Raw genomic sequence first — 25,409 nt, 5'->3', positions numbered from 1 at the left:
TGAGTAGTTCTAAGAGCAAAGACACGGCAGTTAAAACAAACATGCATAGTTCATAGATCTTGGTTTATTTCACTAATGGGGCCTGAAAGCAATGACACACCAGTATCAATTAGCACAGATAATGCCCAAACCTTCGTTTCAAAGAACCATTATCTTTAAACATGAAGCAGGTCTCCTTTGGCAAAATAGCTGATTTCAAGGCTAGAATTGGAAAAGTAGAAGATGAGCCTGCAACATATCTTAAGTCTAACAGTGATGCAACCCTATCAAAAGGACATAGAGAAGCAGCTTGAATGTGCGCCCATTTGCCAAATCTGGAATAATTTGAGTATGAAAACAAATAATTATAGCCATGGACTATGTTATCCATTGAATAAATAAGAGTCCATGATACCATGAAGTTAAATAAATAAATAAATAGAGGAAGGAGAAGGAAAATTTATTCTATAGAGTAGAATGGCAACTAGTAAATGTAGAAGGAATTAAAGAGTTAGAAGAAGGATTAATAGATACTATAATAGTAAGTAAAAGTTTGATGAGTAATATGATATTTATAGAGTCTCAAAATTTCTACTTCCATATTACATTTTAAAGATCTTAATCAAATTACCAAAGTTAACATTACTAATACTGGAATAAACTGGCATCATGTGCTTCCAGATGGAGTACATTGAGGGAGGCAGAATATCACATCTGTGGGATTCTTGACAAAAATTCATAATCAGAATCTAATCATAGAGAAACTCAGATAAACCCAAATTGAGGAAAATTCTTGCCAGAACTTTTCAAAATGTCAGTCAAGAAAGACAAAGAAAGCCTCCAATAACAGTATTTAAGAGTCATAACAACTAAATGTGATGCTTGATCCTGGATTGGATCCTGGACCAGGGCATTAAATAAACTGACATGACAAAATTTGAATATGAAATGTGGATTAGATAATACTAGGATATCAATACATAATGGCTTATTTAAAATGTATACTGTGACTATGTAAGAATATTCTTCTTAGGAAATTATACTTATGTATTTAATAGTAAAAGGGCACTATGTCTTCAATTTACTTGTAAGTATTCCAGGAAAAGATATAACAATATTAAGGGATGTGTATGTATGTGGCGGCAGTGGGGGGGTTATGTAGAGAGAGACAGAATTCTAAAAATAATACAAGTTGACCAAAATATAATTGAATATTGAGTTTGGTAAGAATGTTTAGAATTTTAATGATTATTTTTGCAATTTCAAACTGGCTTGAAATTATGTAAAGAAAACATTGCAGATCAGGCATAGTGGTTCATGTCTCTAATCCCAACACTTTGGGAGGCTGATGAGGGAGGATCACTTGAGTCCAGGAGCTCAAGACTCCTCCTGAGAGGAGAGTCTTTATAGAGAGACCTCATCTCTATAAAAAATACAAAAATTAGCCAGGTGTGGTGGCATGTGCCTGTACTCTCAGATACTTGGGACACTGATGTAGGAGGATCACTTGAGTCTAGGAGTTCAGAGTCATGCTGTGCTGTGACCACACCACTCTACTCCAGTTTGGGTGACAGAGTGAGACCCTGTCTCAATAAATAAATTAATTAATTAAAAAGAAAAATCCCTATTTCGTGAAAGAACTGTGCCTAAGAAAAATTTTGTACGTGACAAAAAAAAATTTGGTAAACATACAAGGTATTTGAATAGATAACTGAAGGAATTTCTGAACAGAGAGACAGAATATAGTAGCAGATTACTTGACAAAAAATGTCAAGGAAAATAAATCCATAAAAATACAATTCAAAGTCAACAGGAATAAATTTCAGATTCAAATTATAGTCAGTGCAATAAGAATTTAAATAAATATACAAGTAAAAATTTCTATGATTTCAACTTTGATAAATTTTTATTTTAGAAGTGAAATTTTGGAGAAACATCAATTATTTTCCTCAACCAAATTTTGCTAACACCAGCTAAGATTTAAATTCTTGTTAATTTTATTCACAACCCTTAGAAAGATGGACACTGATCAATGAAACAATTGCTAATCCCAGACACGGATTAAGTTTTATCTAACTGGGCAGTACATAGGTCCAATTTAGAGTGAACAATAAACTTATATTTGCCTCCATTATACACAGAAGCCCAATTTTATCGAAATTTCAATAGAGAAAATATGATTGAATATGGTTGTAAATACTTCAGCCATTGAGTCCCCTTAATTACTATTCAAAAATTAACTTGATAACAATATTGTTTCTGAGGGTAAAACTTCACAGCGAAATCTATTTTAATATGTAATATCCTCAAAAAAGCCATAAAGTATTTTTAATAAAGATGTGTGTATTCCAAGAAATCTAATAGTCTTAGTCTACTTAAAACCAATATATTTTAAACATTTATGTAGCACAAAAATGTTTGACAGTAGAGGGATTTTTGTTTTATTTTCTCTCAAAGGCATTATTTATATCACAAGAAATAGGACCAAATTCTATTTACGCCAGTCATATTTTAACATTATTTATCAACTAGCACTCTATAAACAGTTTCACCTTCTTACTGTTTAGGTCTTGCCTCTAGAGATTAGTTTTACAAATGTTTTTTAAGAACAATGGTTATGGTAGCCACCAAAACATTATGAGATAGCTATGAAAGACAAAATACTGAATTTCCAAAAAGCATCTATGTATTTTTATATCATTGCCATATTAATGCAATGTAAATATAACATTGGGATTATTACTGAAAAATATTGCTTATGTGAGAACTTAAAATTAATCTAATTACTTGGCTATCATTTTAATTACTATGAAATAGTACTTGTGGAATTTTCAAATCATGTATTAATAAAATAATTATATTGCTTTTCATTTATTAAAAATTATTTAGTCCACAAAGAATATCTCAATAAATTTCAAAAATCAAAAATAGTACAGAACACATACTATAACCATAATGCAAATCAGATAAAACTTTAGAGAAAAAATTAAATAACAAGTCAAAACCTAATCATGTGTAAAATAACAAAATAAGAACAGAAACCTCTCCTTATCTGACATTTAGATATAAAAACAATAAAAAATACAGTTTAAAAACTTCCAATGAAGGCTTATAGAAAATCTATCTCTTTAATTATTAAATTTATAACATGCTTATAAACCAGGAGGAGAACCCTGATCCAGCAATCCCATTACTAGATATATATTCAAAGGAAAATAAATTGTTCTACAAAAAAGGCACATGCAACTGTACATTCATCACTGCACTATTCACAATAGCAAAGACATAGAATCAAGCTAGGTGTTCATTGATGGTAGATTAGATAAAGAAAATGTGGCACATATACACAACAGAATACTATACAGCCAGAAAAAATGAAATCATGTCTTTTGCAGCAACATGAATGCAGCTGGAGGTCGTTATCCTAAGCAAATTAACATAGTTACAGAAAACCAAATACCACATGTTCTCACTTATAAGTGGGAGCTAAGCAATGGATATATATGGACATAAAGATGAGAAAAATAGACCCTGGGGACTACTAGAAGGGAAAGTAGTAGTAGGGTGGAGGGGGCCAAGAGCTGAAAAACTACATATTGGGTACCATGCTCTTACCTGGGTGAAAGGATCATTCATACCCTAAATGTCAGCTTCATGAAATATACCCATGTAACCAACCTGCACCTGTACCCCAGAATCTAAAAGTTGGATTATAAAATAGAAAAAAGAAAAGATAGCTGAACAAAAAAGAAAGAAGCATAAGAAATATCTAAAATTAGAAAGCAGACAGAAGGCACCACAGTGATCTTTAGATGCATCCTCAAGAATTTTGCCACAGAATATTAAAGTCATAATCAATAATCATCAATAACTTTTAGGAAAGCCAAGACATTGACAGAGACCCAACGAATACAACATGCAGAACTTACACCTAAAGAAAGAGACTTGATAGAGTAATTATAACAGTAATGCAATATAAGTATGTTTAGTATATGCACAAAGACAAACAAGGGAGTATGTTCATGATAAAGTATAGTGTTACAAAGCAGGAAAAATGTATGAAAAAAATCAGCTACAACGTTATAAATATTAAAATATATATAATTATTGAACTAAAAATCTCCTTAGATTTTTAATAGCAGAATGGGCACAGTTAAAGTGTCTTTGAAGTTCAACTTGATAATATATCCCTGAATATTACATTAATACCATACAACAAAGTTAAGAAATGAGAAAAATATCAAAAAGTTTCAATTCTACCTAATAGGAGTTTCAGAAAAGGAGCTTTGTAATTTTGGCAACCTTGGAAAATGCAGTGACCTTCCATCATCAGAAAAATACAACCTGAAGTAACCTTTCCAGAGAAGAAACCAAAGGAATAAATACTTTTTTCCCTCCCTACTATCTTCAGTTCTTCCTTAGCTAAAATCCATATGAAGATGGAGGCCATGGAAATCCTACTGATGTAATACCACAAGTCGGCTCCCTGGGTGAGACAGCAGTGGTATGGAGAATGAAGGGAAGTATACAGCAGGTACAGGATGAAGAAGCAGAAGATAATTACACAATGATTTTGACCCAGTTCTATTCAGGTTGTCTTTTTTGTTGTTGTTAATTTACACAATACGAATTTTTTGTCTTCTCAACATTCAAGGCTTTCCTTTCTACTCTCTTTACGGTTTCTTTTGATCCACAGAGAAATTTAATTTTATTAGTCAAATTTATAATTTTTCTCTTTAGATTGTTTTTCTAAGTCATTTTTATTCAGTATCCCGATGTTCTTTTTAATCCTTACAGCAAACATATGTTGTACATATGATTGTTTTTCTCATTTTATGAATGAGGAAACTGCCTCAGAGAGGTCAAATAACGCAACTGAGGTTACACAGCTGAAACTCCCATTTAGGCAATCTGGATCTGAGACAACAGTCTTACCCCTAGTCTATGTGGCTCCTGATGAATATTTTTATGTACATAGTTGTACTCTTGAATGTATCTCTAAACTAAATCACTAGATTCAAACTTACAAGATCAGACTGTGTACATATGAAATTTGGATGAATGCTGCCAAATTTCCCTCCAAATTTTTACCTTCCCTTGCCATTCTTGAGTACTATCACTTAAAAAAAGTATGCTAATCTTACAAGTCTAAATGGTATTATATTGTCCTAATATATATGCATTTAATTATGAGTTAGGTTTAGCATATTAAGATTTTTGGTCATTGATTATTTTTCCTCTGGGGATGTCTCTTTTTTTTTTTTTTTTTTTTGAGACAGGCTCTTGCTTTGTTGCACAGGCTGGGGTACAGAGCCATGATGTTGGTTCACTGCAGCCTTGATCTCTAGGGCTCAAGCGATTCTCCTGACTCAGCCTCCCACATAGCTGAGACCACAGGCATGTGCCGCCACACCTGGATAATTTCTTATGTCTTTAGAGATGGGTCTGAGTTTGTTGCCCTGTCTGGTCTCAAACTCCTGGGCCAAATGATCCTCTAGCTTTGGCCTACCAAGGTTCTGGGTGTACAGGCGTGAGCCACTGCATCTGGTCAAGACCTCTGCTTTAATATATCTTTCTCCTTTTTCTATTTGACTACTTGCCTTTTTCACAGTGATTTAAAGGTTAAGAACATTTATCCCTTACTATTACCCTTGGTGTCCCAGTCCCACCATTGATATTTTGCTTTTATCTTCATTTTGTTGTTGGTGTTTTTCACAAATGAAAGTTAGAACTTTTATGTAATTAAATGTATTATTATTTCCCTTTCTAGTTTTCCTTTGTGGGTTTTGTGGCAAGTATTTTATTGCTATTACGAATGATACATTTTATTATATTTTAACTGATTATTATGTTATTAAGGTTTTTAATAGAAATCACATGCCCATTCCCTTGATTGAATTATTTTAATGTTTCTCATATATTTTTCAATTTACTCTCAGGGTAACAAGTATAAATCATACCATCCAGAAATAATTAAAATTTGCTTCTCCTTCCCAGTGATTATAATTCTCATTCTGTTCTATGAACTAATTGCATGGCATAGGAATTTTGAAATAATGTTAAATGACAGTAGAAATAACAGTCATCTATTTTTAAGTCCTTATTTTAATGGGAAGTCTAATGTTTCACCATTGTGAATGATGCTGGCTTTTTATTTGAGACACATTTCCACATTGTCTGAATCTACCAATTCCTTTTTACAAAGGATTTTTAACAAAAATGTACATTGTTATTTCTCAAATGCATTATTAATGTTTGTAGAGGCCCTTTTCATCTATTTATGTAATGAAGTATCCAGACACTGGACATCTGTGTAGCCTCCAATTTTTTCCCACTATAAATCAATGTAACAGAACCATTTTACCTTTCCAGCCTCCACTCTTGCATACTCCCTCATTTTCCTACCCGAAAATCTTTGAATTACCACTGAACATCAAACTAAACTGTCAGTCTTAACTGTATACACACTATCTTTGTAAATTTAATTATTAACATTTCTACATAAGTTTGTTTATGACTTTGCTATAACATCATTTTGTGTCATCATTTATCTGTCTGCAGGTCAACTTCTATGAGACCGCACAATAAGTTATAACTGCAATTCTGTGTTACTCATTGATTTTGTCCCAAAACTTAGTGTCTGACACATACTAGACCATCAGAAAACATTTGTGCAATTATTAAATGAGCATCTGAATAATTAAAGATTTGAGTAAAGAAATATGCGAATATACAGACAGTGTAGGACCATGTGGAAAGGATGTCCAGGCTCTGTAATGATATTTGAGATTTATTTGTAGATAATCAGGAGCCAATGAAATGTTAAGAAGGTTAATGCCATGATTATCATTGAGTTTAACTTCACTATCACTTTTTTATTCATTACCTATGCACTTCTCATAAAGATCTTTCTTATCTTGTTTATACATTCATAGGACATGGACCACTATACACATGATAATATGTATACAATATATATTGTATGTGGTACATATGTGTAGTAATACAAAATTAAGGAAGTCCAAATTTCATTATAGTGGTAATACGTGACAATGAAAGAATTTAGTAATTCAACATGATTGTATGATAATAATAGCAGCAATGGCAACAAGAATTACACTTACCAAATGCTGTCTCCAAAGAGACAATAAGATACCAGGTTATCATAACACATTTATATAAATAACCCATTAAATGTAGTATTAATCCAAATTACAGATATAACAACACAGATTTAGAAAGAAAATTTAGATTACGCAGAATTTCACATTTAGTAAGTGGTGGAACCAGAATTAAACCCAACTATATTTCATTCTCAAATTAATTTTTCATCTCTTACAGCACAAACAGTGCTAATCTATGGCTTACATATCTCTTACTACAATAGCATGTTTTCTCTTAGAAGTAAACTAGTTATATTCCATTCAACAAATAATTTCTAGATTATTCATAAAAATATTTTTGAGAATACAATGTAACTTCACTCAGGTTACAAATGTAACACATTTATTAAAACAGTTAAAGTAGTTACCTGGTTTAAATGTCAGATCATCTCCTAATTACTACTAGTCTGTTAATCTTTTCCTTTTTGAAAAAAATATGCAGCTAATTCAACTTAATAAACTAGCTTGAGAGGTTTAAGGAAGTAAGAGCAGGTCCTAGAACAACTTCTTTCTTTCTGACTCCATGATGCCTTCAAGGCAAACACTGTTCTGGTCCCATGAGAGAGAGATGGGAATTATTTCATATTACCCTAGTCATGAATCTAAAAAACATAAAGACATTAAGTACACTGAGCACTTTCATTCAAGTAATTTTTCTAAAAATTTTGGAATATATTCTATACTACTGTCTTAAGATAATTTAATTACATGGCTATAATAAAGGTTATTTTATGAAACTGCTTTAGGAGACTACTGCAATTGGGAACTCATAAAAATCTTAATATTTATCTGACTGAAAATAAAACCAGAGAACTAAAGATATAAAATGCATGGCTGCTAAGAAAACCTTTATGAAGAGGGTGTGCTGCTTTTGTAAAATATTATAATTTTCCAAATAGCATAGTGTGTTTCTGAGTAACACTGCAGAAAATAAGTTTATATGCCAGTGCTCACTGTATTAGTTTTTCTGTATGCATTACTACATCACAGAATTACTGAGTTCTTTATGAACTCCATTTACAAAACATGATTATTTTGAGAGCTGATAGTCAAGCTATCCATCAAATCATTAATGTGGTACTGTTCCCTTGTGAATGCTCAAAATCCACATCTTTCATTCCTTGTATAAGTTTAAATAAAGTTTATACTAAACTGTTATATTACTGAATGCACTAGCAAATAGTTGTAGCCTGGTGATTCTGTAGCTATTTTATGTGAGAATTTGCCAAACATGCCCTATAGAAATCTTTCTCTTAAATGTGATGGTAGCTTTGGGGAAATTATTTTAAATTCAAAGTCAGTTTCTTATTTTCCAAAGTGAATGGGTTTTTAATTCCCTAATGCAAAATAGCCTTTTGCGCATTTTGAATAATGCCTTTCTAAGGCAGTACTTGTAATTATGCTCAAGCATCAGTGGAACAGAAGAAAATAAAATCAGACAATGCGAATAGAATGTCAGAGCATTAAGATGTCAAGATATTTATGTTCTCAAGGTTATTTACATTAGGACATTATATTTAAAGGTCAAGGTAAAGTTCAGTGAGAACTGTAAGTCTTTAAATTTCTGCCAAAGCCTTTAAGAAATGAAATAGAAAATGTATTGTTTAGGCTTAGAATCACTTTGTAAGATGAAAAGCTTTCAATGCTTTAAAGTTCAGATCTTTACAAGAACAAACCATTTCCTCAAAATTTCATCCTCTTTCCTATGTCTGACCCTATTATTACAAGTCTAATCAAATTCAGCAAATTAATATTGGAACAACACATTTATAGAGCAGGTTTTCTTACTCAGGAAAAGTTAACAGATGAGGACAAAAGAGATTATGTTGTAATTTGTTAATGTATTTTCTTGATCATCATTTAGCAAGGACACTGAGCTAGAGAAGTCCTTATACCCCTTAAAAAGTATTACCCAGAATGTACTAAAATTAATACATATACTCTACATGAAATAGGAGAAAGTGATATCCAACCTTATTGTTTTGAATTGTCTTTTTTATGAGCTGGCCAATTTATTAATATTTTAGTTATACGTGTGTGTGTGTATACACAAAATACCTTCAAAAATATTTGTAAAATCTCATTTTTCAAAGTGAGTCACACTATCTTCCTAAAACACTAACATTTGAGAAAAATCTTGCCAAGGGAATGGGAAAATGTAGAATTGACTGCAAGAGAAGTAAGAACAACAGAGAGATTCCTATCTCTAACCCAGCTACCTTCCTATATGTCTGATTTTGACAAAGTAAGTTAACACTGACATGATATTGTTTAACCTTACGTAAATTGTGGGAGGTTTTACTAATTAAAGATGGCAAATAGGTTTTTCTTTATAGGTCAATTCTGAATAAATGGAAGTGGCTGCATGATGCCTATGTTGCAAAATTAATCACAGGCTATTTGACCTTCAAGGTCAGAAGGTAAGAATGTGATGTATTAGAAACATCTGCCTTAGTCATGGGATGGGTCAGTGGTGACATCTGCACCTGAAATTCACCATTCCTGGGCTACATGACAGCTAAATATCTCCTAGATATGTCTATTAATATAGTAGTTCTGTAGATGCAATTAAGGGACTGCACACACACACACTCAATGAGTTGACGTTTTAAGACAATTTTATATGTTGTTCTTTTATATGAAGTTCTTGGCTCAAAGTTGTCCTATTGTACACTTAATACACTAAAGCTTTGCAGCAGGGTACAGAATAAATTTATTTTTATAAAAATATAGCAGATTTCTCATAAATAGCTACTATGGAAAACAACTATGTGAATAAAATTTAAATTCTCCCAGTTCTCAAACCCCAAGGTAATTAGCGAGAGATTATGAAGGGAAATATGTGAATTCAGCTTTTACCAATTAGTGGACTATGAAGTCCAACCACTCCTCTTCTCACAATTCTCTTATAGTTAGAGCTTATCTCTTAACTGACACCAGAAGAGGACATGGATTTTGGCAGATTACTTAATATGTCTTTCTTGGCGTGAAATTAGTGAGTGATCCCCAAAGAAAAGACAAATCTTGAAGCTAAGAGCTGAGATTACAAGGCTGAGCCATTCTTTGCAGACAGAGATTCCTCAAATCTTGAATACTTGAAGTTGTTTAAAACAATCAATAATTTTCCTTATACAAGTATTTCAATAAATAAAAAGATAGGGTATAGTATATCCAATCTCAATATATTCAACCTTGAGATAGAATTGTCACAGGAAACAAAGCCTAAAAGAAACTTAATACACTAAACAAATTAATGAATGTTTATAAATATTATAGAAGATAACTACGGGAACATGGAATACTCTAATATACCTTCTAGGGGACTTGAGAAGTTCTTGTTGAGGAAAAGAACATAAGTATAAAAAGTTTACGTGGTGAAAAGATAGACAAGAGTATATTTGTATGAGGAAACTATGCTCAAAGTAGTAGAGATAAGAGACTGCTGCTACATCAAATGAAATTTAAAAAGCCCAAGATGGCTGCAGCAAATGAAGAGGGAATTTCAGGAGATGAGAATGGTGATTTCAAAAGAAGTCTTATCATGGAGAATGTTGTAATAGTGTTATGGGATTTCAACTAAAGGCAACAGATATGTTTTAAGCAAGTTAAATGCCTGATCAGATTTGTATTTTGCATATAACATACTGGCAACAAAAATCAAAACTTTGTATACAGCTTCAAAGGGACACTTAGATTCAGGGGCAATGTGATTATGAGGATAACCTTTATTTGGCTAAATATGACATCAGTGAGCGATGTTCACAGATGGGTGACTAGACCCCAACCACATGAGGACAGCTTTCTATCAAGCACCATAAGGAAAGTATAATGTGTACAAGAACTTCAACAAGATACAGGTTCTTTTAAATAGAGACGATTTGTGTACAATCCCTATAACAGCACCCAGCGCACAGTGGATACCCAGTAAATGTCTTCTACCACTACTTAGGTCAAATTCTTAAAGATTTGTTTTAATCCTTTAGGACTTTCACGTTGAATTACCTCAAGGCAATTCAAACATAGCAGTAAATAACTTAGGATCCCCTTAAAATAACTAAACTTCTAATGAGATCTCACGGAATTTAGAATTTACTTTAAAGACTGAGATTAAAATAACCTATGACTACCACACAAGCAAAGGTCTTGTCTTATTAGACTTTGTATTTGACAGTTAGCATCTACACGATAGAATGGAGGCTCAATGAGTTGTTACTGGATTGAATGTAAATTGGGACAAATCACTTGTCTGTTTTTCTGAGACTAAAGTAAATCCCTCATACAATAAAATAATACAAATTGTTCAACTACTTATGAAGCTCCCCCTTGAGAACTTAGGAAGTAGCTAAACATTTAAAAATATAACACAGTTTGAAACAATAATAAATACAAAAACACATACATTATTAAAAGGTTAAAATTGAAAAGACAAGTACCCTTTTATTTTCCGTGTTGCTGCTAGGAATAGTATACATTTAGCCATATTTTCATCCTCATGAAGCCAAAAAGAAGAAATACGTAGGGAAAATAATAAGTTATTGTTATTTTCAGAATGTCCCCACATTTTCTAGTTAGATTTTAATTTTAATTTTTCAACAAAGAAATATAATACATGTCATGATGAGAAAGCAAAATCATATTGACACTGCACAAAATAATTGCTATATTGTAATAAAAATGAAACCAGTGAGTGTACATGCTTGTAATAATAACATCATGCATAATTGTAGATTAATTGAAATTCTTGTAATTATATATAAATGCCTGAGTTGAAAATTATTTCTACAATAATACACATGACGGAAATATTTAGCAGCTGTATATTTAAGCCACCAATACCAACTGGAAGAAATAGCACAATATTTGATTATATTTGTGTGCAATATAAAATCACAATGGGACAAAGCTGGAAAAAAAAGGTGATTTGAATCTCCTTCAGTGTTTATGTTTTTTCTTTGTTTTGTGGTAAGAACAGTTAACATGAGATCTACCCTCTTACCAAACTTTTAACTGTACAATACAGCATGATTAATTAAGGCACAAAGTCATCCATCAGATCTCTATAACTTACGCATGTTGCAGAACTGAAATTTCATACTCGTTGAACAACTCCTCAAATCTTCTTCTGTCATAAAGTCATTATCAGAAGTATAGCATCTAGATAGGTATTATTCCACTACACTCATTACTTAGAGCGTGTCTAACTATCACTTTTGTCCCATTACGGGCACCACCTTTAAGGAATATAGTGATGTAACTGATACGCCCTCTTTTTTAAAAAAAATTTTATTATTATTATACTTTAAGTTTTAGGGTGCATGTGCACAACGTGCAGGTTTGTTACATATGTATACATGTGCAATGTTGGTGTGCTGCACCCATTAACTCATCATTTAGCATTAGGTATATCTCCTAATGCTATCCCTCCCCCCTCCCCCAACCCACAACAGTCCCCGGAGTGTCATGTTCCCCTTCCTGTGTCCATGTGTTCTCATTGTTCAATTCCCACCTGTGAGTGAGAACATGCGGTGTTTGGTTTTTTGTCCTTGCAATAGTTTCCTGAGAATGATGGTTTCCAGTTACATCCATGTCCCTAAAAAGGACATGAACTCATCATTTTTTATGGCTGCGTAGTATTCCATGGTGTATATGTGCCACATTTTCTTAATCCAGTCTATCGTTTTTGGACGTTTAGGTTGGTTCCAAGTCTTTGCTATTGTGAATAGTGCCACTATTAACATACATGTGCATGTGTCTTTATAGCAGCATGATTTATAATCCTTTGGGTATATACCCAGTAATGGGATGGCTGGGTCAAATGGTATTTCTAGTTCTAGATCCCTGAGGAATTGCCACACTGACTTCCACAATGGTTGAACTAGATTCAATGCCATCCCCATCAAGCTACCAATGACTTTCTTCACAGAATTGGAAGAAACTACTTTCAAGTTCATATGGAACCAAAAAAGAGCCTGCATCACCATGTCAATCCTAAGCCAAAAGAACAAAGCTGGAGGCATCACGCTACCTGACTTCAAACTATACTACAAGGCTACAGTAACCAAAACACCATGGTACTGGTACCAAAACAGAGATATAGACCAATGGAACAGAACAGAGCCCTCAGAAATAATGCCGCATATCTACAACTATCTGATCTTTGACAAACCTGAGGGAAACAAGCAATGGGGAAAGGATTCCCTATTTAATAAATGGTGCTGGGAAAACTGGCTAGCCATATGTGGAAAGCTGAAACTGGATCCCTTCCTTACACCTTACACAAAAATTAATTCAAGATGGATTAAAGACTTAAATGTTAGACCTAAAACCACAAAAACCCTAGAAGAAAACCTAGGCGATACCATTCAGGACATAGGCTTGGGCAAGGACTTCATGTCTAAAACACCAAAAGCAATGGCAACAAAAGCCAAAATTGACAAATGGGATCTCATTAAACTAAAGAGCTTCTGCACAGCAAAAGAAACTACCATCAGAGTGAACAGGCAACCTGCAGAATGGGAGAAAATTTTCGCAACCTACTCATCTGACAAAGGGCTAATATCCAGAATCTACAATGAACTCCAACAAATTTACAAGAATAAAACAAACAACCCCATCGAAAAGTGGACCAAGGATATGAACAGACACTTCTCAAAAGAAGACATTTATGCAGCCAAAAGACACATGAAAAAATGCTCATCATCACTGGCCATCAGAGAAATGCAAATCAAAACCACAATGAGATACTATCTCACACCAGTTAGAATGGCAATCATTAAAAAGTCAGGAAACAACAGATGCTGGAGAGGATGTGGAGAAATAGGAACACTTTTGCACTGTTGGTGGGACTGTAAACTGATACGTCCTCTTTAGCAGCCTGAGTTACTGCATGAGGTCACAGCATCCATTCATGAAGTCAAAGGAAATAACATCTTCCTTCCCAGCAACAGATCCTCTTCAGTGCTATGGGGCCTAATTTCTGTGATTAGCCAATTATAAATGGGAATGCTATTTATAGCACATAAAGTAGTGGTCACTCCTTTATGTGTTCTCTATATAGAGACAGGAAAAAAAAAAAGAAAAGCTTATTTATTTGACAAAGACTCCTGTTCTCTGCTGGACAGTCTGAAGGTAGTTTCTTAAGATATGGGGAACATCATCTCTGTTATTCCAAATATAAATTGGATTATAAGTATAATATAAGTTGGATTATATTAATAGCTGCATCATAAAACAATAAGCCTGTCTCCCAATATCACACATCTTTAAATAAAATTTGCTTCCACTTTACAACAATGTTACCAAGTACAAGAACCCAATCTGGAAAGTCTACATACCATATGATTCTAACTATAGGACATTCTGAAAAAGGCAAAACTGTGGAGACAATAAAAAGAGCAATAATTGCCAGGGGTTGGGAGGGAGAGTGGGGAATTGAAATGAAATATACAGGCACAGAGGATTTTTATGGCAGTAAAAGTATTTTGTATCATATTGAAATGTAGAATATATGTCATTATACATTTGTACAAACCCATAAAATGTAAAACATCAAGAATGAACCCCAGTGTAAACTATGTGATATAGGAGTTAAGAGGAAATGACTTAGGGAGTTAGGGTATGGGAGTCCTCGGTAAGGTTTTCCTTTTTAATGAAAAGCAGCCTTAAAATCATTTTCTAACAAAGAGCAGCCTGTAAAATCGAGCTGCAGACACAGATAAGCAAGCTGGAAGCTTGCGCGGGTGAATGCCAGCAGGAAAAAGCTACCTGAAACTTGACACGTGCAAAATGGCAGTTCCATCTTCCCTTCTCTTTGCGAGTCATGTGTACAGTAAGGAGCAGATAAAATGGTGCTGGCCAAGTGGAAAGCTGATTTGTTTAATAAGATTAGGGTGGAGTGGCCAGCCTTCCCTGTGTGCTATGTAAACGTCACACCGTTCCAACCAATCTGTGAGCCCTGTGTAACTCAGACACCGCCTCCTCAAGCCTGCCTATGAAATCCGGTGCACTCCACCACCGGCCAGTCTTTTCCTCTCAGAAGCCCCTCTCTCACGCTAGAAAGAGAGTTATTTTCCTTTGTCTTTCTTTTGCCTATTAAACCTCTGCTCCTAAACTCCTCCTCGTGTGTATCTGAGTCCTAAATCTTCTTTGCACAAGACAACGAACCCCGGCTACTTACCCCAGAGAACAGTGTCACTTCACATGAACTTTGAGAGGTAAAAATGTGTCAATACATGTTCATCAACTGTAAAAAGTGGACCACTGTGGTGCAAGATGTTGATAGTGGAAGGGGCTCTGCATGTGTGGGGTCGGGGGAACACAGAAACTGTGTAGTTTCCATTCAATTTTTTTGTGAACCTAAAATTGTTTTTAAAAATAAAGTCTATTAGAAAAAAATAAGAAACATCTGGAGTATTTGATGCATCCCTAGCATCAAGCTAATTATTGTACATCAACCTAATGTGAAATATTATGAGCTATGTAGCAAAAATATAGGGAATGTCTTACAACACAGCAAGTGGAGACCTAAATGCCAAGGTTTATATACCTTATTATTAGAGCTATGGAAATGATATACGAAAATGGACATACATTGAGAATGGACTTTTGAAGTAAAGTAAATATGGGTATGTGGGTCATTTTTATTGCTTTAAATCCCTGTAACTATTGTACTATGCCACTTAGTATAAATGCATTTGCAAAGAAGGACCATGTCATTGTAGGACTCATTCAGTTGAGACTGCATGGTAAAAAATATTATCAATTGCCCCTGTGGATCACTATCCTCTGCTATATTATAGTACAATAAATAAAAATTCAACAAATATTAAAAGAACATTTAATTGTGTGCTGCAAAATATATCAGGCACCATTTATGGAATTGTGAGCAAAACATGGCATGTCTCTACTTATTGGAGGTTACATACTTATCTGAGGGAGTATTAAAAACATGTTGGGTAATAAAAATTCTCCATTGTATATATTCTACAAAAGAAAAGTACACAAAACTTTCTTTAATAACAAATAATGGGTCTGTTTGATCTAGCTAGGACAGTGAGAAAAATTCTCGAAGGAGAGATGAGCTGAGTTGACAGGTGTGTCAAAATATAGGTGGAAAAGAGAAGGGAAATAGATTCAACAAAAATAATAAGCCATGTAAAAGGTTTGGGACTAGAAAAATCTGGCAAATAGATGAGACTCAGGTAAGTTGGGTGTGGCTACAGAGGGAAATGAGATTTGAGAGGTAAATGGGCCTAATTAATACATGCCTTCAGGAACATGATGAAGCTTATTATCCTAACTGCTACAGAAAGCCCTTGAGGGATTTCTGGAAAAGGAGTGAAATGTTTACATCTAAATAATGAAAAGATCATGTTTAATGAAAGCTGTAGGAGTTGCTATTAGAGCTAGTTCAGTTTCTTAGACAAGAGATTGCAATATATTCAACCAGGCTGGTAATGACAGAAGAAAATGAACAGATTTAAAAGGTAAACTAAATTCATCCAGTGGACTGGATGGATGGATGAAGGGTGAAAGAATAAGAAGGCCATTAGGATACAGGTCAGTTTCCTTGACATGTCCTAGAAGGATTTTCCAAAGTAATTTTTCATATACCGCTATCTTCATGTTCTAATATCTCCTTCTTTGCAGCCTATGCTGTTTTCTGACCACTCACCATCCCCTGAACATGGTATCCTATCATATATTTTCTTTTTCCTGCTCTTAAAATATTCTATATTTTCACTCAAGATTAACTAGTTTAAATTTTACTTCTTCTGTAACTTTTTTTTTTTTTTACCATTTCTTTCATAGCAAACTTAGCTGTTCTCTGTGACACCACTGTAGTTTTCATATGCTTTACCACATGTTATAGACTGAATTGTGCCTCCTACCAAATTTACATGTTGATGTTCTTTACCCCAAGTACCTTAAAATGTGACTGTATTTGGATAGAGCCTTTAGACATATAACTAACGTTAAATTAGGTAATAAGGGTGGTACTTTAATCCAATATGACTTGTGTCTTTCATAGGAAGAGAAGAGACACCAGCGATACACATGCATAGAAGAAAAACAATGTAAGACACAGTGAGAAAATGGCCATTGAAAGCCAAGGAGAGAAGCCTCAGGAGAAATCAAAACTACCAACACCTTGATCTTGGACTTCCAGCTTCCAAAACCAGGAGAAAATTAATTTCTGTTGTTTAAGCCACCCAGGTATTTTGTTTATGGCAGCCCTAGAAGACTAATAGAATACATTATATTGAATTTATGTGTACCTATCTTTTTTCAAGTAGACCATGAATCAGAAAAAGGTCAATTCCATTCCTACTTTGTATTTCTAGCATCCAATACAGCTCCTATATACTAGGTCTATAATAAAATTTAGCTTTATAAATAACTTCCAAAATTGTAACTATATATTCTTCAAAACATTGTCTTTATACTCTATTCATCTATCTCCAAGAATTTAATTGAATTTCTCTCTAGACCTTCCCTCTACCTGGAGTTTGAGTAACAAATTTCCACCTACCTTCTGTTCATTTTATTGGCTGTCACAAAATTTATTCATAACTCATTTAGAATATTTGTCTCTACAAGCTAGCTTCTCTTAATTTCTATCTCCTTATACCTAAGTTTGGAATTTTAGCTTCATTTCACATATCTGTCCACTCCATCCCACAGATGGTGATATTTGCCCAAAATGTTTCTCCAATGTGTATACATCTTTCTCAGCACGTCTCTCAAATCAGCTCTCATGTGTATATGTACTACCGTAATGGCCATCTACTTACATTTTGTTCTATTTCCCCCTTTCCTTAAAAATCATTTTAAGATACCAATTATTAGTTTATCACTTACATGTTTAGATATATAAGTAAAATATCAGGGCCCATTAAAAAATACACATCAATTCATCTTAAAGGAAAGAGAACTAAAAAGGGGCTGAGACTAAAATTTCTAAAGTGTAATAGATTATGGATGGAGGAATATGAATTTATAAGCAGGAAATAACGTATGAAAAATGACAAAATATGGTAATGTCAAAGTGATTACCACCTTTAAGAGTCATGACTACAAATCAATGAGATGCAGAATCTGTATTTAGCCAGTTTTCAGTTATCTGGAAATTGGCTATATTGTTGAGGATTATCGCCTATACCCTCTTCTGAATATCAATCTATTTCCAGTTCGTTCATCATTTTGTTTTTCTTTTTTTTTTTTACATTATTATTTTCTTTGTTATTATTATTATACTTTAAGTTCTAGGGTACATGTGCACAATGTGCAGGTTTGTTACATATGTATACATGTGCTATGTTGGTGTGCTGCACCCATTAACTCATTATTTACATTAGGTATATCTCCTAATGCTATCCCTTGTCCCTGCCCCCCACCCCACAACAGGCCCTGATGTGTGATGCTCCCCATCCTGTGTCCAAGTGTTCTCATTGTTCAGTTCCCACCTATGAGTGAGCACATGTGGTGTTTGGTTTTCTGCCCTTGTGATAGTTTGCTCAAAAGGATGGTTTCCAGCTTCATCCATGTCCCTACAAAGGACATGAACTCATCCTATTTATGGCTGCATAGTATTCCATGGTGTATATGTGCCACATTTTCTTAATCCAGTCTATCTTTGATGGACATTTGGGTTGTTTCCAAGTCTTTGCTATTGTGAATAGTGCCTCAGTAAACATAGTGTGCATGTGTCTTTATAGCAGCATGATTTATAATCCTTTGGGTATATGCCCAGTAATGGGATGGCTGGGTCAAATGGTATTTCTAGTTCTAGATCCTTGAGGAATCACCACACGGCCTTCCACAATGGCTGAACTAGATTACAGTCCCACCAACAGTATAAAAGTGTTCCTATTTCTCCACATCCTCTCCAGCACCTGTTGTTTCCTGACTTTTTAATGTTCGCCATTCTAACTGGTGTAAGATGGTATCTCACTGTGGTTTTGATTTGCATTTCTCTGATGGCCAGTGATGATGAGCATTTTTTCATGTGTCTGTTGGCTGCATAAATGTCTTCTTTTGGGAAGTGTCTGTTTATATCCTTTGCCTACTTTTTGATGGGGTTGTTTGATTTTTTTCTTGTTAATTTGTTTAAGTTATTTGTAGATTCTGGATATTAGCCCTTTGTCAGATAGGTAGATTACAAAAATTTTCTCCCATTCTGTAGGTTGCCTGTTCACTCTGATGGTAGTTTCCTTTGCTGTGCAGAGGCTCTTTAGTTTAATTAGATCCAATTTGTCAATTTTGGCTTTTGTTGCCGTTGCTTTTGGTGTTTTAGCCATGAAGTCCTTGCCTACGAGGACTAGCAGTAATAACTGCATTATACAAAGAGTGCACATCTCTGGAAATGTTATGAAGATTTCTTGTCGCTATTGGCCAACAAAGATGTCTGGAGGATTATCTCTGAATTCCGTTTATTAGTGGAACATCTGATTTGGTAATAAAGTAATAGTAAAAGTTTATATCAAGATGGATAATTCTCAAGTGTTATAAAATGTTATTCTTACTGAGACTGAACACAAGTTCCAAATTTCTACAAAACCCCAGAAATCTCTTTCACTTCCTTTTTCTTCCCCTTGTCAAACATATGGACGACTCCACATCTTAAGCTATCTGTTTAAGTTTGATTTTTCAGCTTAGCTTAGGCTTGGAGTTGGTCAGATGATATTTTTTTTTTCTGGTCCAACTTCAAAAAAAGAGCAAGAGATATCTGATGAGACATTCGTTAGCATAAGAGAAAAAGAAAAATGAGTGTGAGACTGTAAGTGGGTTCAGTGTTTATTTTGAGGCAAAGTTTCAGAACTAATCACCAAGAGGCAAAATACAACTGACTGTAAATATTACTAAAGCAACACAGGCATTTATTTTTACCTGTATCTAATTTACTCTGTTCCATTATGCATGCTTAGCTGACTCGGATCATGTGTGTGTGTTTTCATCAAAATCTAAAAAAGACCAAATGAATTATTTAAGACAATTTAGACCCCAATTATGAAAGTGCTATACTTTAAGGGAGCATCCAGTTTTGAGTTTATTATTTTAATTGCTATCTACAATAAAAAATCGAATATAGGCTATATGTGCTCACCTGTGATTATTGCATTGGTTTCCTCTACAGTCACTGTTCTTCCAGCTTGATGTTTTAAAAGCAAAACAACTGATCTTACAACTTATTTTCTATTTTTCTAATTTGTTAAAGTTTACATTAAATCTCCTTCAATGTATATGTGCAAGAGGATTAAAGTGGTCGAGGAAGTATTCTATCTATGATATTTCACTTCTATTTTTATGATTATCTTTATTTTTCCTGAACACAGCTTTCTAGAAAAAAAAATTAGTAATCTACACTCCAATTGGATGAAAATATTTCACTGACAGTTTAGTTTGCCTAAGATGTCCACTTGAATATGAGGTAATAACATCTGTATAGGGGCTGTACAATGAAGATGAACTACCAGGCAAGTGAGAAACACAGTCCAACCTATTTTTAGTTTTAAAGATATTTCAGAAATAATTCTACACTGATTCCTTTAACCGTTAGAAATGATTCACTGAACATTTCAGGAGTTATATGAGTTATTTCCTTATCCTCCTATTAGAGCATTAAAGTTTTCAACTACAATTCCACATGTCAGAATAATGTTCACTTACCCCATCTGATTACAAATTAGAAATAATTTTACTGACTCCATTTTATACCCACCATATACTTTTTATTCATATCTGCTTCATGTCAGCACATACATTAGGCACCTATGTTTAAGTAGAACTTGTCAACACTCTGGAAAGAAGAATATATAAATTAACTTTAATGGTATATCCCAACATGCTATTTTTATGTGACTACATGTTCCATTTTTTTTATCAGCTACTCTACAGTCTGAATTACTAAACCATTTATAATGTAGACAGCATGAAGTGAGGTTTCACAGAGATTTCTGAATAACATGGGCATTATGACACATTTATTAATAGCTATGCATGCTGAAATAAGCAATGCCATTTTTGCAATATGTTCTCTCTAGTGTGAAAAAGTAAAAAGATTTTTAAAAAGCCATTTAGCACACACAGCATGCCCAGTGCAGTAAGAGTGGATTCATATGTGCACAAAATTTAGACAAGTATGAAAAGCATCCCCCACTTTGTAAACCCTGCTTTTCCATTCTTTAAACTTCCTCAGGAAAGACTGAAAAATATTTCTGCAGGGTTTAACAACCCCCATTATCTTTCCCCTTTTCTCTGACAGTAAGAATTTTCAACCATTCTGAGAAAAGCATTTTTAATAAGTAATGTGTTATTAAGGACAGCCCGATCTGTCCAAAAGTAAATTGTAAACTACATAGTGTCCTAAATCATTGAAGAATTTATGGCTTCTTGAATTAGAGTAATGTATTTATTCACTAAAATTGATATCCATATTTATTTCCAAATAAAGTTATTTATTTCCAAATAAAGTTAAGGGAAATATAAACTCTCCTCTATGGATTTAAAATAAATTTTAAAAATTCAACAATCGTGACAAATATATTTAGTATTAGTCTTTCAGAATCCATCCTCTGGCCCACAATAACTTATACCCCTTCCTCACTTCCTTCTAAGCCTTCATAGGAGCATCCTCAGTGTGCATTTTTTCTAATAATCTTGTGGAAGAAAATTAGGATTTCAATACCATTCTCCTCAAAATCTCCCTAGCTTCTGCCCAATTCCAAAGCTGAAATCATATTTGTAAGCATTTATTAGATCAGCAGCACTTCACTTCTAGGTATCAAATTCTTTTTTTCATTTTTGGTTATTGCAAATTACCAGAAGTGTATGTGGAGACATAGAGCATATATCAAATTAGCAGAAGTGTACATAGAGACATAGAGCAACATACATTTATTATTTCACTGTTTCTGTGGGTCAGAAGTTCAAACACAATTTAAACAAGCCCCCTGTTCAGCAATCAAGATGTCAGCTAGGGATCAAGTATTCATGATGATTGTGGCCTTCCAAGCTCAAGTGATTGTCTACAGAATTCATCTTCTTGTAACTATAGAAGTCATGATGACTTGCTTCTTTAAGACCAGCAAGACAGATCCTGTGACTTCTGGACTTTTTAAAAAAAAAAAAATTCTGCCTGATTAGATCAGGCATAGTCAAATAATCTCCATTTTCGTTAACTAGAACTTACCTAATTAGAAATCTTAAGTGCATCTTTAAAACCCCTTCACCATTAAGAAATAATGTAATGTAATGTAATCATGGAAATAATATGCCCTCGCCTTTGCCATATTCGATTGCTAAAAAAAAACTACAGATGCTACCTGTATTCAAGATGAGGTTATACAGAGTTGGGTAATTGGGGATTATTCTAAAATTTTGTCTACTATGCATTTCAAATTAAAAAGTGGGATTATACTTATTATAGAAAACATGGAGATTACTGAAAAAAACTAGAAATACAACTACTATATCATCCAGCAATCCCACTACTGGTTATATATCCAAAAGAAAGAAAATCAGCATATGATAACTATATCTACGTTCCCATGATTGATAGGGAATCAATCTGCATGTCCATCAACAGATTAATGAATAAATAAAAAGTGATACACACACACATATACACTGAAATATTATTCAGCCATAAAAATAATGAAATCCTTTGCAGCGACATGGATGGAACTGGAGGTCATTATGTTTAGTGAAATAAGTCAGGCACAGAAAGGCAAATATTGCATGTTCTTACTCATATGTAAAAGCTAAACAAGTGAATTTCATGGAAGTAGAAAGTAGAACGGTGGCTACCAGAATCTGGGAATAGAAGGTAAGGGAGGAAGTGGAATGAAGAGAAGTTTGTTAAAGGGTACAAAAACAAAGTTAGATAACAGGAATAAGTTCTAGTGTTCAATAGTACAGTAGGAAAAATATAATTAACTATCATTTAATGTATATTTCAAAATAGCTACAAGAGAAAAATTGTAGTATTCCCAACACAAAGAAATGATAAATGTTTCAGGTGATGGATATCACAATTACTCTGATTTGATCATTACACATTGTATACAGGTATCAAAATATCACATGTACCCCCAGATACATACAACTATTATGTATCAGTTTTTTAAAAGTAGTCCACCAGGCTGGGTGTAGTGGCTCACACCTGTAATTCCAGCACTTTGGGATGCCAGAGTGGGTGGATCACTTGAGCTCAGGAGATTGAGACCAGCCTGAGCAACATGGTGAAACTCCATCTCTACAAAATACACAAAAATTAGCCAGGCATGGTGGTGTGTGCCTGTAATCCCATTTTCTCAGTAGGCTGAAGCACAAGAATCGCTTGAACCTGAGAGGCAGAGGTTGCAGTGAGCCGAGATTGTGCCACTGCACTCCATCCTGGGTGACAAAGCAAAACTATGTCAAAAAGAAACAGAAAATTAAAACTAAGATAAATGAACTAGACACAAACATAGAAGAGATTTCTAAATAATAAAACTATATAACTAATGTTGCCAGTGAAAAGGACAATTTTCTAGAAAAACATATATTATATATTAGTATAAAAGATTAAAGATGAGAAAAAGCTGACTTGATCAATGATGAAAGAAACTGAAAGTGCTATAAAATAATAACAGTTGATTTTTGAACAACACAGGCTTAAACTGAGTTTACATTTTAAACTACTAGTAAAGTTTAGAAATATTATTTGTATTACTTCATTTTTAAACGTATAGGCACAAATTTTGTTCTTTTCTTTGAGGTTATTCATCTTTTACTTAATTTATATGAGTTTTTATGTAGGTAGAAAATTGTTCCTTTTCTGTTATGTGTCCGAAATATCTCCAGTTTTTATTTCATGTTAAAATTTTTGTATAGGTAGATATTTATTAGCATAAATATTTACTTTTACAGGATGTATTGGAAGGCTTTGGAAATTCTTCACTATCCCCCTCTTTATAATATATTCTTACTCACCGGGAACATATTGGTCAAATTTTCATTAAATAGGATGTGTTCATTCCAGTGGTAAATGTCAACTCTTGTTGATTCTAATACTGGTGATTTCTGCAATAATTAACCAGAGCCATTCAATCTAAGCATCGCTTATCTCAAGGTTCCCCTATGTTAATTGGCAAGAAAGCAGATATTCAGTAAAAATGAGCAATTTCAGAGCCTTAACAGAAGGGCCTGTATTTGGATAGTATTAATTCTTCTGCAATTAGTAGTCTCTTGCATATTTGAGATTCCAGCATATGCTGACATTATTACCATGAGTAGACCACAGTGAGACTGTGCCAAGAAATGAATCAGGATTTTCAGAACTCGTTTTAGCCCAGAAGCAGATGATATTATGAAAGGTTAGTGCTGAACCAAAATCCAGCTGGACAAGAAATAATTATAAGGACTGAATGAACAGATGAGAAAAATGAATTGTGGTTATTTTAGAATACTATTAGCAGTTAAAATTTTTTTCTATCTCCCTGGTAAGTATCTGTGGAGGTCATTTTTCTTCCTGATGTATCACTTTCTCACTTTAGACAGGCATTTTTATTTATTTTGTTTAGTTTTTAAGATGATTTAGCAATTTGAAAAAATTACTATTATTTTGATAAATTGACAGTGGTTGATTATAAAAGAAGTTTTGAATAATAATCTCATAATAGTGAAGAAATTGTGAAAAAGAAACAAAAAGGGTCTGATACTCCCATTTTAAAAGTTTTAAAGCAACAATAATTGGTATAATAAATTATTCATTCAACAAATATATTTGCATTTCTAATATGTGCAGGGTAGTTACAAAACTAAAATAATAAAGAAAAATAAAGTATAAAACATGCTTGCCTTTATGAAACTTACATTCTAATTAAAGGAGAGCAATACTGTTTAAGAAATAGGCAAATAACCAAGAACATTTTTGGATAAAAAGTTACTTAGAAGGAAATCCACAAAGCAGATTGAAAGAACCTGCAGAAACAGAGGAACAGGTCAAGAAAATTCTCTTTAAGGAGCTAAGACCTAAAAATGAGAAACATTCAGTTATGCAGAGATGCCAGTAAAGACCAATGAAATAAATTTTTAGGCAGACTAAGAAGTCAACTATTTCAAAAAAATTAAAATATATAAAATTACAACAATACGTGTAAATATTTATGTTATCACTGATGTTTAAGCATAAAGATAAAAGTAAAATGTAAATGAATGAAAAATCTGATAGATTTTACTGTCCAAAATGTGATATTTTACTTGTGGAAAAATATAAGCAAAAGG

At 33.5% G+C, this 25,409-nt stretch overlaps 1 long non-coding RNA gene across 2 annotated transcripts in view; it reads right to left on the bottom strand.

Annotated features, from left to right (window-relative positions):
- LINC00871 (long intergenic non-protein coding RNA 871) overlaps positions 1 to 14,964 on the bottom strand; it is a 437,745-nt gene extending 422,781 nt beyond the window's left edge. For both annotated transcript variants that reach the window (NR_102701.1, NR_102702.1), the window contains exon 1: positions 14,907 to 14,964. This is a non-coding gene — a long non-coding RNA (long intergenic non-protein coding RNA 871). The remainder of the gene's footprint in view (positions 1 to 14,906) is intronic.
- Between the last annotated feature and the right edge of the window lie 10,445 nt (positions 14,965 to 25,409).

Source organism: Homo sapiens, chromosome 14, assembly GCF_000001405.40.
Source record: "Homo sapiens chromosome 14, GRCh38.p14 Primary Assembly".
NCBI lineage: Eukaryota > Metazoa > Chordata > Mammalia > Primates > Hominidae > Homo > Homo sapiens.
Note: the sequence above shows the minus strand (reverse complement) of the source record. Positions and strands in the feature narration are given on the sequence as shown.